At 40.9% G+C, this 16,960-nt stretch overlaps 1 protein-coding gene across 10 annotated transcripts in view; it reads left to right on the top strand.

Moving 5' to 3' along the window:
- Positions 1-9,236, top strand: part of IL6ST (interleukin 6 cytokine family signal transducer) — a 59,869-nt gene extending 50,633 nt beyond the window's left edge. For all 10 annotated transcript variants that reach the window (NR_157112.2, NR_120480.2, NM_001364276.2 and 7 more), the window contains 2 exons: positions 1,580-1,661; positions 2,512-9,236. Coding sequence is in view for 7 of the 10 variants with exons in the window: in NM_001364276.2 (NP_001351205.1) it covers positions 1,580-1,661; positions 2,512-3,249 (820 nt within the window). In the remaining 3 variants the exon portion in view is untranslated. The remainder of the gene's footprint in view (positions 1-1,579; positions 1,662-2,511) is intronic.
- Positions 9,237-16,960: the final 7,724 nt, after the last annotated feature.

The raw sequence follows: 16,960 nt of genomic DNA, 5'->3' as shown, positions 1-16,960 counted from the left end.
GGATCCTTAGGATTTTCTAGATACACAATCATGCTTCTTGGGAGTAATTATAGTTGTTCTAATCTTTATGCTTTTAGTTCTTTTTATTGTCTTAATGCACTGGCTAAGACCTCTAGTACATATAGTACATCTAGACCATATAAGAGCATTGCTTTGTTCCTAATTTTAGAGGTGAAAGTATTTAGTCTTTCACCATCACATGTGATGTTAGCTGTAGGTTGAAGTTTTTGCTTTGTGGGGTTTTTTTGTTTTGAGACTGAGTTCTACTCTTGTTGCCCAGGCTGGAGTGCAGTGGCACAATCTTGGCTCACTGCAACCCCCACCTTCTGGGTTCAAGCAATTCTCCTGCCTCAGCCACCCGAGTAGCTGGGATTACAGGCATGCACCACCATGCCTGGCTAATTTTTTTGTATTTTTAGTTTAGTAGAGATGGGGGTTTCACCATGTTGGCCAGGCTGGTCTTGAACTCCTGACCTCAGGTAATCCACCCACCTCAGCCTCCCAAAGTGTTGGGATTACAGGTGTGAGCCACCGCGCCCAGCCGCTTTGTGTTTTTTTTTCCCCTTTACTACTACTTGCAGGGGGGAAGTTCTTATTTCTGTTTTGCCTTGCTAGCAATTTTTATCATGAATGGGTGTCACAATTTGGTCAAATGCTTTTTCTGAATCTATTGAGATGATCATATGGTTTTTCTCCTTCCTTCCATGAATATGGTGCATTTTATTGATTTTTCATATAACATCTTTGCATTCCTTGGATTTTGCTGCATTCAGTTTAATACTGTTTGCATCTGTGTTCATGAGTGAAGTTAGTCTGTCTTTATGTGCCTTATCTGTCTGGTTTTAAAATCAGGATAATACTGGCCTCATAAAATGAATGGGAACATGTTACCTCCTCTGTTTTCTGAAAGAGTTTGTATAGTATTAATACAATTGTTTCCTTTTGCCCAGAGTTTTGTGGGAAGGTTTTTAATTAAAAATTCAATTTCTTTATAAATATAGCTTTCTTTTTCTTCAATCTGTTTTGGTAATTTGTGTCTTTCAAGGATTCATTCATTGGTTTGTCTAGGTTGTCAGCTTTACTACTTTTTATATTACTTCCAAATGTTATAGGTATTTCCTACAGGAGAGTCAGTCTGGTAGGCTCTCACTCTTTGAAGCACCATTCTCAGTCACTTTTTTAAATTTGATTTTTATATTTGAACTTTTTTGGTATCAGTGGGAACATTAATTTGTTATCTGGATTCTTTTAATTGGAATACCACAACATGTGGCCTGGGTAAAGATTTTAAGTGGTTTTAATTGCAGAATTTTGAGAGTTTAAAAAAAAATTTGAACACTGATTAGATTTAGCTTTGTTAATTCATTATGAATACATTATAATCCTTATGCATTTTCAACAGTATTTTTCTATTGGTTATAAGAAAAATAATTTTTGTTTGGGGTAGAGTAGGTATTTTTTGTTCATTTAGGTAATTGGTTTGGTTTGTAAGAGTCTTTGATGAACATGTTTAGAAATAGGGACTATTTATTGTTTATTATGTGTGGTTTTACATAGGCCATTTTTCTTTTCTCTTCAGAATTAAAAAACACATCTGGCCTAATGTTCCAGATCCTTCAAAGAGTCATATTGCCCAGTGGTCACCTCACACTCCTCCAAGGGTAAGAGAAAATGCTTCTGAGTTGTTTATAATATACAGACATGTTAGTAGGTATATTGAGTATCTACAGTTAGTAGGTATATTGAGTATCTACAAATGTACCAAAAGATAAGATATTCAAGCTGAATCAAAAAGTAAATGAAGATAAAACAGTACATAACTGAAAATTTTAATCAAAATTTAATATGTATGACATATTTTAGGGGTTTTATCACCATCATAGTATATTTGTTCTGATATTTTAAATTGTTTAGTACACATTACAGATGTTTGGTTGAACTTGCAAACTGAAAACTTGAGGTGCTGAAACTGCTATGTGATGGTAACTACCTCAAGCATTTTGGGTTGAGTATTAAAACCAAGTTCAACAGTTTATCATTTTAGCACTGATGAAATGATCTCTGGGAACCTACTCTAAACTCTGAATTTTAAATATGCCCCAAAGGGGAACTCATTTATATTTATTATCCTCCGGTAGTCCTTAAATTTTATATTAACAGATTAAAATGTATTATGTATTTTTATATTCTACAAAATCTCTGTCATTCAGGTTTGATTTTCCTTAATGTTTTCTAGTTTTCTGTCCAGTTAATCCTAGGCTGCCTAGTCTAGGCATGAAATATTAAATACTACTTGTAGACCATTAGCTTATCAAAATGTAACACCAACAATATTGATTTAGACTACTTAGACTCATTTTATAGTATCTGCATTTTGGGTAGTTGACAGTGACTTAGTGACATAATACAGGTTATTTCTGTACCACTGAGAGTTACTGGGAAGTTTCAGAGATGCATTAGCTCTGTGGCTTTAACTAATACTTGCCATATACAATTTTTTCTCTTCCTTAGCACAATTTTAATTCAAAAGATCAAATGTATTCAGATGGCAATTTCACTGATGTAAGTGTTGTGGAAATAGAAGCAAATGACAAAAAGCCTTTTCCAGAAGATCTGAAATCATTGGACCTGTTCAAAAAGGAAAAAATTAATACTGAAGGACACAGCAGTGGTATTGGGGGGTCTTCATGCATGTCATCTTCTAGGCCAAGCATTTCTAGCAGTGATGAAAATGAATCTTCACAAAACACTTCGAGCACTGTCCAGTATTCTACCGTGGTACACAGTGGCTACAGACACCAAGTTCCGTCAGTCCAAGTCTTCTCAAGATCCGAGTCTACCCAGCCCTTGTTAGATTCAGAGGAGCGGCCAGAAGATCTACAATTAGTAGATCATGTAGATGGCGGTGATGGTATTTTGCCCAGGCAACAGTACTTCAAACAGAACTGCAGTCAGCATGAATCCAGTCCAGATATTTCACATTTTGAAAGGTCAAAGCAAGTTTCATCAGTCAATGAGGAAGATTTTGTTAGACTTAAACAGCAGATTTCAGATCATATTTCACAATCCTGTGGATCTGGGCAAATGAAAATGTTTCAGGAAGTTTCTGCAGCAGATGCTTTTGGTCCAGGTACTGAGGGACAAGTAGAAAGATTTGAAACAGTTGGCATGGAGGCTGCGACTGATGAAGGCATGCCTAAAAGTTACTTACCACAGACTGTACGGCAAGGCGGCTACATGCCTCAGTGAAGGACTAGTAGTTCCTGCTACAACTTCAGCAGTACCTATAAAGTAAAGCTAAAATGATTTTATCTGTGAATTCAGATTTTAAAAAGTCTTCACTCTCTGAAGATGATCATTTGCCCTTAAGGACAAAAATGAACTGAAGTTTCACATGAGCTATTTCCATTCCAGAATATCTGGGATTCTACTTTAAGCACTACATAAACTGACTTTATCCTCAGACTAGCTGAATGATTTTGTGCTGTTTCAGGATGTTTGCACTGAAGAAAAACAGAAAGCTTATCTGAAATTTATAAAACTTTTTGTTTTGCTACATAGAAAACAGAAGGTATTTGAATAATAAGCAGTGATATGCTTAGTGAGCACAGCTATACTGATTTTGATTAGAATAGTCATCAGAGTGGCTTAGGGACAGTTAATATAAAAGAGGAGCAAGGTGTAGACCATCATCTACTTCTGCTAAAATAACTTAAAAAGAGGTCCATAGGCCATAACTACATGAGCCCAGCTTTTGTAATCTGACAAAAAAATGAGGAGCAGCTTCGTGTATATCAGTGTACACGGTATTCCTTAGGTCCCTTCCATTGGTAGTGATGCTGCGAGTTATTACTGGAGAAAAGGAATTCTAGAGCTTTAACTTGGCAGATTAAAAGTACTCATTTTTTATTCATCAATAATTAGTAATCTCACTAGTTTTCAAAAATTTGCATATTATTGACAACCTCTTTGAAGATGCATTTCACAAACTCAACAGAGTGCCATGATAAGAGCTAGGGATCCCCCAAACTATCTCAAGCATCTAAAAAATTGCCATTTTTAAAGGCTTAAATTGTAGTAGTAAAGGGGAAAACAGGAAGTAGTAGTAAAGGGGAAAAAAAACCAATAAAGCATCTAAAAAATTGGCATGTTAAAAGGCTTAAATTGCTAATGTGTGTATATATATATATATATATACACACACATATCATTGACTTTTCTTAAGACTTCAGAGTACTGGGTAGATGAACACTTTATACAGTATATATCTTCAGCTTAAATTTGTTTTGAGTATTTTTTTTATTTTTAAATAAGTAGGCAAAGATTTAAATTTTTTTATTTTTAGTAAATGTTTGAGGCACACTAAGACAACTTGGGCAATATTTGCCAAAACAAAACAGAACCCCAAAAAATGTACATCTTGTTCTTAGCAAATATCATTATTGTAGAGACACTTAATAAAGAGATGGTATTTTAATGTCTGCAGTTCTGAGGTAGGGTGGAACTTAGTTCTACATTGTGATTTAGGAATTTTTAAAACCTTTTTTCTTCAAGGGAGAAGTGACCCAGGCCTCGAGTTTAGTGCTAAAGCCGCTAGTGTACTTATGCTGTCCCCTAACCACCACGTGCGATATGGAAGCAGATGCTAAATATAGGGGTTTTCTTAGAAAGTAAGAGGAAATTAGCAAGCGTTATTAGTGATTGACTACTGCTATCAAGTGAATTCAAAGGAAACAGGTTTTTATGCCATATTTAAGTTACAGAAACCAGGCATGCTTAGAATAGTTTCTAGAGGTTATTGGAGAATAGAAAGCTAAGAAAACTTGGTATACATTTACAATGGAAATATAATTACACTTTTTACTCTCAGAATATTGTTCACATTAGACTTCCTGTTTATCTTTTATATTCTTGCATTTATATAATGCCTCATCCTTTCAAAGTTCTTTCACATATTATATGATCTTCTTTATGAAAAAAATAGATGTTTCATTCTGATATATTCAGTTTCCCACTTTAGGCAAAAGTAGATTAATAGAATGACGAATTCAAAGTAGATGAGGAAAATCAGGCACAGAGAAGTAAAGGTAGGGATAGACCCAAATTTACACAACAAGATAATGACATCTCCAGCTTTTAAGTTGATCATCAAAGGCTGGGCTGGATTTGTCTTGCTGTATGTGTCAGGAAATTTATACCTATTACATTTTCCATTTTCTCAAAATTTAAGTCACATGACTAATATTTAGCTGCAACTTTCCTCATAACAAATAGTGTCATGAAGAATGTTGTAGTGTGAAGTTTGTACATTTCAGGGTCAGATATACAATATGAACTCTTAATCTACAGGAATGAGAATGGAGGATCATTGAAGGCCATGATATAAACAAATTTGCATGTTGAAGCCTGTATAAAACATGGTACAGTGAGTGAATATACCCCCATCCCCAAGAACACTTTATACATATTAAATGGATATATGATTACTGTGCAAAAATTCATTCTGGAAATGAACATATATTTGAGCACTAATATGTAATGTACACCTGCCCTAAGGAGAAAATAAATTATAAAACTTTTTACATTCAAAATTACTTTCCCAAGCATGTCTTAGAATAATCTATGTGTTGATGCATGTAAATTGTACTTTAGGTAGGCAAAGAAATCTGGTTATTTATGTAAAAACTAGTCTAATAAAGTTAGTTAGTGGCTTTATCACTTTAAATCTTTAGTGTCCAAAAGTGGTGTTTAAAGTAATAGCACATCAGAAAACCTTGTCTGGACAAAACTAGTTCACTCACTGCTTCTGCACCTGCAGTTGCTCCCTTTAGGGTTATAAAATAATGACCCAAATGTTACATGTGTTGATATTATAACTTGTCAGTTACTGATGTCTGTGGTATCCTACCCTCATCTCTGAAAGGGATAATACTGAATAATTATTAGAAAACTATAAAACTTCACACTTTGTACCATTAAAACCTAAAATTTTAATCTTGTCCTTTTTTACTATGGATCAGTCGGCACTCGGGAACAGCAGCAAGGAAAAAAAGCAAATTTCATTCACATGTTCTGTGTTCATACCTCTTCTCTACCTAATTGTTCATTTAAATTTCAGCCTTATTCCTTGATAAGGGATTTTACCACATGAAGTCATCCAGTGACCCTAGCTCTTATTGTGAAGTTAGTGGAGTATACTTAGAAATGTTACAACTTTAAAATGTTACAAAACATTCATTAAAGCTCATATTTAAAGTAGAGCATCTAGTTTGAGAAATAGAAATCAATTATTAAAGATGTCTTTTTTCTACCCATTTAACTAGTTAAAACCATGACATGTAAATGTAGAAGTAGAATAATCATAGAATTCCCTAAAATATTTCTGTTTACTAACATATATTGACCAAGTACATCAAGCAGGAGAGATCTTCCTTCATTCTGTTATAGTCCACATCATTCTAATTTTGCTCAGTTGTTATTAAGAGCATATTCCTAAACCATACACTTTTGTTTCAATAAAGTTTTATTTTGTTGAGATGAATAAAATAACAAAGTTATAAGCTGCATAAGACAAAAGTTCAATTGTTCAAAAAAAATTTACTGGGATAGCTTTCTATTACAGGTATTGTTAGATTATATTGTGCTGATAAGATTACTTTCTAAAAAATTTGTACTTTTCTGTAAATTAAAAGAATATGGAGTCATAAAATGGCAAGTGTTTTAGGATTAGCCTAAAATTGGACATTGTCATTGATTTCAAAGAAGGTATGAACTAGCAGTCTTACAGCCTAATTCTTCTTTGGACTGGTCCTTGGCAGCAGTTCCTTTTCAGACTCGATAAACAGAATTCAGATGATGTAAGTCAAAACAAAACTTTACAAAGCCAAGCGTATTATCTTTTGCATTAACCTATTTTTTTCCATCATACATGCTACTAGTATGTGCATTAGCATGATATTCTCATATACATTGCATTAAAAATTAAAAGGTGGCAGCTCAGGGTGAGCTCTTCTGTTGCTCATTTGTTCCTAAATTTTTAAGGGCTTTTTCTCAGTCAATAGTTTGTACAAACTGGTTAGTTTAACTTCATTACCCATTTCATTAAAGTTGATGGGTCGTGTGATGAGATGCATTTAAGGCCGATAGTGATAGATGTTTTTTTTATTTCTTGAACACAGGCTTTGTCTGAATGATGTTCTTTTATCTCTTGAACACAAGCTTTGAATGATAACTACAGGTTTTAAGTGCTGTTACATTAATACCATAATGTGATGTGTTAGAAACAAAGGGATATTTCAAAGGTAGATATTTGAAAATTCTCTAGTCTCAATATGTATGTGTATTGAATATACTCTAAAAATAAATGTGCAATTTGCTAGTAGGACAATGCAGTGACTGACTAGCATTAGGTATGTTTCTTTTATATCCTAGCTATGTCCCACTTTCTTCTAAGTGCAATCCTTTCATGTTCACTTGCTGTTTTACCCCATCTACTCTAACTTCATTTGGAAGGCTTGTCTAGAGTATAGCATGTATTTTTACCTTTGCAGTGAATTGCATGTGCTAATTGTAACCACAGCTATTTTTATGTTGACATAACTCCAAATGTTATATTAAATGTTCTATTATATATTAGCTCTAATCCCTTAAGTAAATTTTAAGAAATAAATACTTGTTCAAATTTTTTTTCTGTATGTGGTTACTATCATCTGACTATGCATATTTGTAACAGCATTTATCATTAGTGGTGTTAGCTAAATAAGCATCTTAGTGTAAATGAGATGCTTCGTGTGGGTTTTGTGACATTTTAAATGACATAATGGAATGTGATTTAAAAGAAAACCAGTACACTATCTTGGTCTTAATAACATAGAATGGAGATGGCAAATTTATCCACTAGTTTTCCAGATTTACTATTTAATAGCTGAGGTCTGAAATCGTAGCATCCTCCCTCCTAGTGGACATTAAAAAAAAAAAAAAAAAAAAAAACCTACTTGGTTGTCAAGAGCCCAAGTATGGAGGTGCTGCGCCATCTTGTGGCCTGTCTGTGCCCACCCTGCACTCTGCTGGAGTCTCCATCCTTGTTGCAGTGAGACTTGAAGTTCAAGATTGATACATGGCATCCTCCTGCTACTTCTTGAGGTTACTAAGTAGTATATGAAACTAATCAGTCAGCAAGTCCACCTGGAAGGAAAAGAAAATCTCAACTATTAATGTGCCTTCACATTGTGATTTTGTCTAAAAAAATGTAGTGAGTCAAAAAACCCACAAGCCAGCCAACAGTAACTCCTTCACATATATACCAGAGTTTATAGAAATAACATGTCAGCTTTGGGCTATGTGCTCCTTTGTTTAAAATCTTCTATTTGGTTATGGCTTGTATAGGCTCAAGCCTGATTTCTTTAAGGTGTGGTGGCTCATCTTATCCTAATGTGTATGATAGATACAGTCCATCCTGCTTTGGAAAAGATTATGTAACTCCTTGAGAGCATACTCTTTCTCTAGCCCAAAGGCAGTGAGAGAGTTTTCTTGTTCAGGATTGCTTAACTTTCCATTTAAGCTTTTTCTTTTTAAATTAATACAAACTTCTACACTTTCAAAATACGAAATATATTACAACTGCGTATAGGCTCTTCCATACTTAAGTCCAGTGCTTGGGCAAGTTAATGGAGTGAAAGACTACAAGCAAAGAGGAACTGAGGTAGAAAAAGAAGAATGTGTGAAAGCAGCAGGAAGCTCAGCCAACTCGAAAGCAGGGTGAACAGCTTGAGTCCTGTTGCTGCTGATCGGGGTTGGCTCTTGGACAACTTAGTAAGATCATGGAAAGGCTGCTTGGGTTCTCCATAGAAAAGTTCTGTCTCCATCAAGGGAGGAAAATGTACCTTTCAACTCAAAATTCAATATTTGTTTTTAAATATAGCTATTTTCCCCAACCGCTAAAGATTTTCAACAGATACGAAGCCAGAGCTTAGTTTTAGAAACCTGTGGACATTCAAACCTGATTCTTTATTCCCTGTGACTATGGTTATGTCATTTTACATGTCAAAAAAGTGTATCTAGAATTGTCATTTCTTATTTTTGAGCTTTTTTTAGTGAGAATTATCCCCTCACTTAAATGGCTTTTTATTTAAACATCTGTGCATTCTGTATGAAATTGTAGTCTTTCTGGGATAACATGGTGAGCTATATGGTGGTAATCCACACACACAAAAATAAAAGCCAAAAAAAAACCAAAACCCTCAGGTAAAGTATTTCTCTTTCTTCAACTGTCTCATTAGCCCTGGCTGTGGATGGTCTTTCTGAGACAGGCTAGCCAGAGTAATTCAACGGCCACAAGTGGTTTCTCCCCCAGAGTGCTGGTTCAAACTCTGAATGAGACCAGCCTGTTGATTAGAAATCTAATACCTCAGTCCAGGCCTACTTTCCTAGAACAATCTTCACTTAGTAACAGGTCCAAGACACAACTATTAAGTATACATCTGGGTCCCTTCCCCGTAGGAAAAGGTTTTCCCTGCAGTCTTGCCTGTAGTCAGAAGCAGCCTGTTGACTAATGATAGCTTTTAAATGAATTTATAGAAAATTCTTGGAAATAGGCTCTATAAGCTTTATGAGAGGGATAATGCTTTTAAAGGAATGGCATGAAGGGGAATATTTAAATAAAAAGGCACTGAGATTCTGACAATAGAAACCATAATTCTGCATAAGCGTTCTGAGAATGAAAAGTCAGCCACTCTTCAGGTCAAAGTCAGTGTGGATTTTGCCAGTTGTTCAATCTAGACATACGAACACCAGGGCTACCCAGCCAGCATCAGTGCCTAGGAAAGGACCTCCAAGAAACTTTTAACTGCCACGGTCAGAATCGAGACTAGACATTGCTGCTGGGGGTGAGGGGCCGCTCCTCTTCAAATGAACCGGCAGACCTTTCTGATCACCTGCTGGGGGCCACATGCCGGAGCAGGGTGTCCAAAGGTGAGCAAATATATGCCATCTATGAAGTGTTTACTGTGGGTTATGAAATCCTAGAAACTTATGAGGTAAATACCAGCACCATTTACAAATGCAGCCTCCAAGAGGTTGAATAACTTGCCCGGGGTCATGTGGTTGACAAACAGTGGAGTTCCAACTCCAACCTGATCCAAAGTCCGCATTCTTTGATGTGTACACCAATTGTACCCAACCACTTAAGCAAAATTCTTGATGACGTCATGCCCAGGCTAGCTTAAGGAGAATGCACACCTGCTTCCCAGGCCCTTCAAACTCTTCTGAGTTTCTCTTCCCCTCATCTCCCTCCCCACCACCCTTATTTGTGAATATGGGGCACCTTGTGCCCTCAAGCAGCCCCCTGCAATTGCCTACCTTGAAGTGTCCTAACTGAGCCTCGAGCCCAGAGCAGTACTTCTCCTTATGCCCTCAAGGTTTACTCCGAGGCTGGCTCCCCACCCCTACTAGCACATACATTTGCTCTGACCCTATAGAGCAACCCCTGCAAAAGAGGTCAATGTGTCCCACTTTCCTGAGAATGCACCCTCACACGACCCCTGGAGTCTCATTCTTTTGGCCAAAGAAAGACTCCTCTAATGGTGGAATCTAGCCCATGGCAACTAGTGACAGGAGGATCTCCGGCAGGGGCTTTTCCTGGGTGCTCAGACCACGGTCCTACCCCAGGTGGTTCTGTCCACAGACTTCCCCGGGCCCGCTGCCTAGCGCGAGCACCCGTTCCAGCCTGCCTCACCTTCACGGTGCCGCCAGCCACTCCTCTCCATCTCCTGCCACTCCCAGAGGGGCTGCCTGCTGCTGCCCCGCTGTGCTGACCTCATTCCCCACATTTGCTTTCTGTCCTTTTGGGGCCTCGCTGGACCTTTCCAACCCCCCAGCTGCACACTTTATAGTTTCCAGAACATACTGAGTTTCTTCTAACCTAGCCCATGCACATGATTTCCTCCCCTAGAATGTTCTCCAGTCCCCAGTCCCTGTTAAGCTGGGAAATTCTTACTGGTTCACCAAAAATCAACTCAAATAGATACCCTCTTGAGGGAAATCTTCCATTCTTCTCTCTCCTTCCCCCTGAGTTAAGGGCCTTCTATATCCTGGCACCTACTGCTGGGCCTCTGGAGAGAGGGCCCCAGCTCAGTCCTCTCCTGGCCCAGCATAGTGCTCGGTGTTTGGCAGAGCTTGCTTATATGAACAGGTAAGTGGGTGAATAAACAAGTTATTTTTAATTTTAAAAAATGTTTAAAATGTGTCTCAGGTTTCTTCTAATCCAGAGTTGCACAGTGCCATAGGCAGTCAGGAATCTGCCTCCTTCGCATCTCAAACCTGGGATCATTTCCTGATTCCCATCCCACCCTGGCTACAGGCAAGAGCTTCCCCCAACCAAGAGAGAGAGAGTCTTGCTCTGTTGCCCAGGCTCAAGCAATCCTCCCACCTCAGCCTCTCAAGTAGCTCAGACTACAGGCAGCACTGCCATGCCCGGCTAATTTTTCTTTTTTCTTTTTTGTAGACACGGGCTCACTTTGTTGGCCAGGCTGGTCTCAAATGCCTGGCTTCAAGCTATCTTCCATCCTTGGCCTTCCAAAGTGCTGTGATTACATCTCTGAACCACCGTGCCTTGGCAAGAGCTTTCATTTGAAGCAAAATATATACTCAATCCAAAAGCAAAAATTTAGAGAAAATTAAAGTCAGATGGATCCTTATTAAATCATTTTATCCAAACTCCTCATCCTGGACGAGGAAAATGAGGTCCAGAGAAGAGGGGCCAGCAAACTTTCCAACAGCACAGGAGAAAACGCTGGGTTTGTGGGTTATAAAAGGACGGCCCTGCCCTTTGGGAAGTTACTGTCTAGTGAGGAAGACGGAGTGAACCAGGATCAGGCTCCGCCTTAAGAACACATCAGAAAGTGCAAGTAGGCTCAGGCCCTACAAACCAGGCTACGACCAACCCCTGGCCAAACACCAGGCAGCTCCCAGTATAAAACAATCCCCCAATTCCTCAACGAGAAGATCCCAAGAAAAGTTTTTGGACAGCTTAACTGTGTGAGCTTTACAGATGTTGATTAAATAGTCAGATGTCTGCCTATGATCCATATTTTAAATAAGATGATGTGGAACAATGCAGAAATATAGAATTGATTTTGTTCACTCGTACTTTATGAAGATAGTTCCATGCAACTCTTCACTTGCAATTGGACACTGAGGTCCTTCCTCGTCATTACCAGATCCCCTTTGTGAATCATAGGCACAGGTTTTGGGAGCTCGTTCCTAACATTTCCATCTAGTTGTGTGAGAGACAGCAGACAATGCTGTCGTGGAAAACAGTATTCAAGCCTTAAGTATCCACTTTTATCTTAAGAGACTTTCCCCCCATCCCAGTAATGTAACCTGTTACCATTTTGCTTTTTAAAATGGTCTTTAAAAAACTTTACACTGAAATCTAACCTAGTTAATATTGAGATCATATCCCAGGAATAATGACTAAATCCCTTGTCTCCTTTTATGCCAGTTCCTTCTGGTGATCTCCGTGTGATTCTCAAAATTAAAAATTAACATTGGATGAGGTCATTTTAGTGAATGGGTCTTTCGCAAACAGAACTTTTGTGTTTAAATAACGAAGAGAGGCCAAGCACAGAGGCTCACGCCTGTAATCCCAGCACTTTCGGAGGCCAAAGTGGGCAGATCACTTGAGGTCAGGAATTTGAGACCAGCCTGGCCAACATGGTGAAACCCCGTCTCTACTAAAAATACAAGAATTAGCCTGGCGTGGTGGTGCGGCACCTGTAATCCCAGCTACTTGGGTGCCTGAGGCAGGAGAATCACTTGAACCCGGGAGGCGGAGGCTGCAGTGAGCCAAGGTCATGCCACTGCACTCCAGCCTGGGTGACAGGGCGAGAATCTGTCTCAGAAAAATAATAAATAAATAAATAAGAAGAGAGAAACTGTGATATGAGAAACTTTGTAAGTACTTTACTAAAGCACTCCCTCTTTTTTGGGGAAAGATTTTTCAGAAAACATTTTATGTTCGGGCAAAAAGCTGTGCTCATCGGGATGCCTTCCTGGAGGAAAAGCATCTTCTGTAGAATTTTGTCGTGCAGGCATGAGCTGGTGACCAGGAGAGCCAGCAGTGTGCACAAACTGTTTTCAAATCAATGTTGCCTCAGTTCTCTGGGTCAGACTAAACTATAATTCTTATTGTTACAATGAGACTTGTATTTCAGGACTGGCCGGAAGAATTTTTGTTGACCCCTCTGAGCAACATCTAGATATTCCCTGCCCTCTTTCCAGCCCTTTGCCAAAGATGTGACTTCAAGCAAGGAGGACCCCTCAGTCCTCATATCTCCATCAGCCCCAGCAGGGACACAGATGGATTTATCTACAACCCATGCTCAAGTGCTCGTGGGGAGGTAATCTTACACTTTTTCTACTCCCAGGACAGAAAGGAATGCCCAAGGTGGCACCTAATCATACACCTCTGACCTTGAGGCAGGTTCAAAAGAGACGTCTAATCACCACCGTGTTTTTGAAACACAATCTCATGCTGTGGCCCAGGCTGGAGTGCAGTTATGCGCTCTTAGGTAACTGCAACCTCGAATTCATGGGCTGGAGCAATCCTCCTGCCTCAGCCCCCAAAGCAACTGGGATGACAGACGTGTGCCACCAGACCTGGCTAATTTTTTAAAAAAAGTTTTGTAGGGATGGAGTGTCACTATGTTGCCCAGGCTAGCCTCAACATCCTGGCCTCAAGTGATGCTCCTGCCTTGGCCTCCCAAAGTGCTGAGATTACAGTTGTGAGCCACTGTGCCAGTCCAACCACAACATTTTTACTACATTTAAGGCAACATCAAACAGGTTTCTGTCTTCTCCAATAGAGTCATGTGTGAATGTAAGCCAGCCCCATTTCCAAACAAGGAGGCTTTCTTCGTGCAGATAATTCTGCAGGTGTCAGATTTTCTACTGATTCCATGCTAAATGAAAGGTCACAATCTGGTGATGTCAAAGGGCCTCCCGTAGCAGAGAGAAGAGTAAGAAACACAGTGGGTGAGATAAGAGAGGTACCCAGGGCACACAGTCATGGGAGGTACTTGGTGCCCTTGCGTGACCCCGAAAGTGAGCACCTCCTTCTGTTGGGAGCCCTAGACTTGCCCCAGTCCAGGCCCTGCTTGGTGATGATGTCACCAGCTGGGGAGCTGGGCTTTCCGTCATTCATCCCATGAGATGGGGACTATTCTAGTTCTTTCTTGTCTTTGAGATTATTGTAACACCTACTTGAGGAATGGACAAGAGAGGGTAAGCCTGAGACAGGACACTACTCAGGAGCACTTTTCTCATCAGGGTGAAGTCTGAAGGGGGCTGAGGCCAGGAGAAAAATAGGAAAGCAAAGCCAGCTCAGGAGCAGCGCGGCCAGACGTGGCGACTGGTTAGCTGGAGGCTCCAGGGAAAGAGAGGGGCAATGAGCCTGTGAGGTGAAGGAAGGGTAGCTGCTTCCAAGCCTGGGAACATCATGTCCAAGGAGAAGCATCCTGCGGAGGGTGAGGGAGGCCTGAGGCTCCAGAAACCAGGTGGCACCTCCCCTCCTGAGGAGGCCTGTGCATTGCTTGCAGGGGCTCATGCAGTGTCCATGCCACGACTATGGCTGTGTCTATGAAATGTGGGGAGGGAGGGTTTCTAGATTGTGGGACTGGCCTGGGACCCTAACAATGGCATCTCCAGGCAAGCACTAAAGGCAAAGAGCTGAGAAATAGCTCGTTTCCTCTTTTTGGACAATTCTAGACAATCCCCTGCCCGGCTTCTCCTCCTTGCCTCCTCCTTTATTTCAGCATCGCCGCCTAGCCTCCCCAGGCCTGCCGTGAGGTTCTGGGGTCCTTCAGACTGGGCGGACCCCTTCTTGTTTGTGGACAGTATCAGGAAGGAGACCCTGAGAGGGGGCTGGAAAATAGGGGACTCTTGCCCTATGCACTCACAGCCAGGTTCACACCTCCCCAGAGTCCACCCCTCCCCTGGCCCCACACAGAAATGAAAACCAATGCAAAGCCACCCTTTAGAAACAGCATGGGCTTTCCTCACCTCAGTTACCTCATCTGTAATGATGACAACAAGCCCCACTGTTACTCACCCCGCGCTTACTATGTGCCAAGCACTATGTGCAGCAAACAGTGGTAGAATGAAGTGGTAGAATCACTGCTTCGTTTCACTGCCCCAATTGTTGTGGTGATACTATTTCACCCATTTTACAGATAAAGCAACTGAAGCTTAGAGAGGTTGAGGAACTCGTGGAAGGCAACAGAGGAGCAGGGAGCAACGCTGGGGCTTAAAATTCAGTCTGACCCCAGTGCTCCTGCTTCAAACGACTACATTCTACCTTCAAAATAGGGGCGCACTGGGCTGGGCACGGTGGCTCACGCCTGTAATCCCAGCACTTTGGGAGGCTGAGGCGGGCGGATCACCTGAGGTCAGGAGTTCGAGACCAGCCTGACCAACATGGAAAAACCCCGTCTCTACTAAAAATACAAAATGAGCCAGGTGTGGTGGCGCATGCCTGTAATCCCAGCTACTCGGGAGGCTGAAGCAGGAGAATCACTTGAACCTGGGAGGCGGACGTTGTGGTGAGCCGAGATTGCGCCACTGCACTCCAGCCTGGGCAACAAGAGCAAAACTCCATCTCAAAAAAAAAAAAAAAAAAACCCAAAAAACAAACAAACAAAAAAAAACAACTAGGGGAGCACCCACTCCAGAGCTGGCCAGGCTGGGATTAAACGAGATAGTCTTTGAAAAACACACAGGACAGTACCTGGTGTGTGTTATGTAAATACGTGCTCTGCATTTTGTATTGCCAAATCTGGCAACAGGATCTGCCCCCATCTCCACCAGCTTCCCTGGGCTTTGCTTTCCACTGCGGGCACCTGCAGTTATCTTTCCACAGCTTCCCTCAGGCTACCGGAGCCTGACTCCTGGCCTCCAAGCACACAGTCAAATGTGCCTGGAGGTTTCATACCCTGTGGGGACAGCTGTTTACTAGTAGACTGAGGAGCTTAGGAGTGTGATAGCCCAGGCCCCTTGCCTGGGGAGGACACGCGCCAAGGACTGAGTCACTTACCTCCAGCATCATCTGGGGATGAGACTGGCGCTGACCTGCAGGGCTCTGCCTGAAATCCCACCCTGCCCTGGCGTCTTCCCCTCCTCTCAAGCCTCCCTCACTCGCTCACCAGTTTCTCTTGGGAATGTGCCCTGGATGAATTAGTTACACCTGGATGTTTGTCTCAGGATTTGCTTTGGGGGGACTTAACCTAAGGTTCCATTCCTAACCCCATCCCTGTACAAATACAGCATTCAGAATTGGGACACTTTGGGCGTGGTCCTTATCTGCGGTGACAGTGTTCACAGGAGGGTCCAGGTGATAGTTGCACACAGAACCACCCAAAGCGTCAGACTCACTCACCAGACCTCAGTTTAGCAAACTCCAGAAAGGCCCATCAGGACTACCTGTTAATGCTTCACGTTTAACACCTAGTCTGGGACGAGGGGAAACGATGGCTGGGTCCTGTCAGCCTGCAGGTGACCTCCTGCCTCTCCACCCACAGCCCAAGCTGACCCCAACCCTATGCCCTCCACCTGGGACCACCCGGCAATGGTCTCCAATTAGACGCCAGCAGGGCATTTTCATTACAACACTTAGCCAGAGATATTCTATCCACCTGGCAACAGAGAGGCAGGCTCCCAGGCCAGTGAGTTTTTTTGGGGACCTACAAAAATATGCTTGACCTGAAGAAAACAATTGATGGCAAATAACCAAGAAAAGAAAATCACAAAATTGAAGAATATTTAATTAAGTGGGTTCATTAGTGATATGATTTGGCTGTGTCCCCACCCAAACCTCATCTTGAATTATATTCTCATAATTCCCACGTGTTGTGGGAAGGACTTAGTGGGAGATAATTGAATCATGGGGGCAATTCCCCCAAACTGTTCT

This window comes from Homo sapiens, chromosome 5, assembly GCF_000001405.40.
Source record: "Homo sapiens chromosome 5, GRCh38.p14 Primary Assembly".
Classification (NCBI taxonomy): domain Eukaryota; kingdom Metazoa; phylum Chordata; class Mammalia; order Primates; family Hominidae; genus Homo; species Homo sapiens.
Note: the sequence above shows the minus strand (reverse complement) of the source record. Positions and strands in the feature narration are given on the sequence as shown.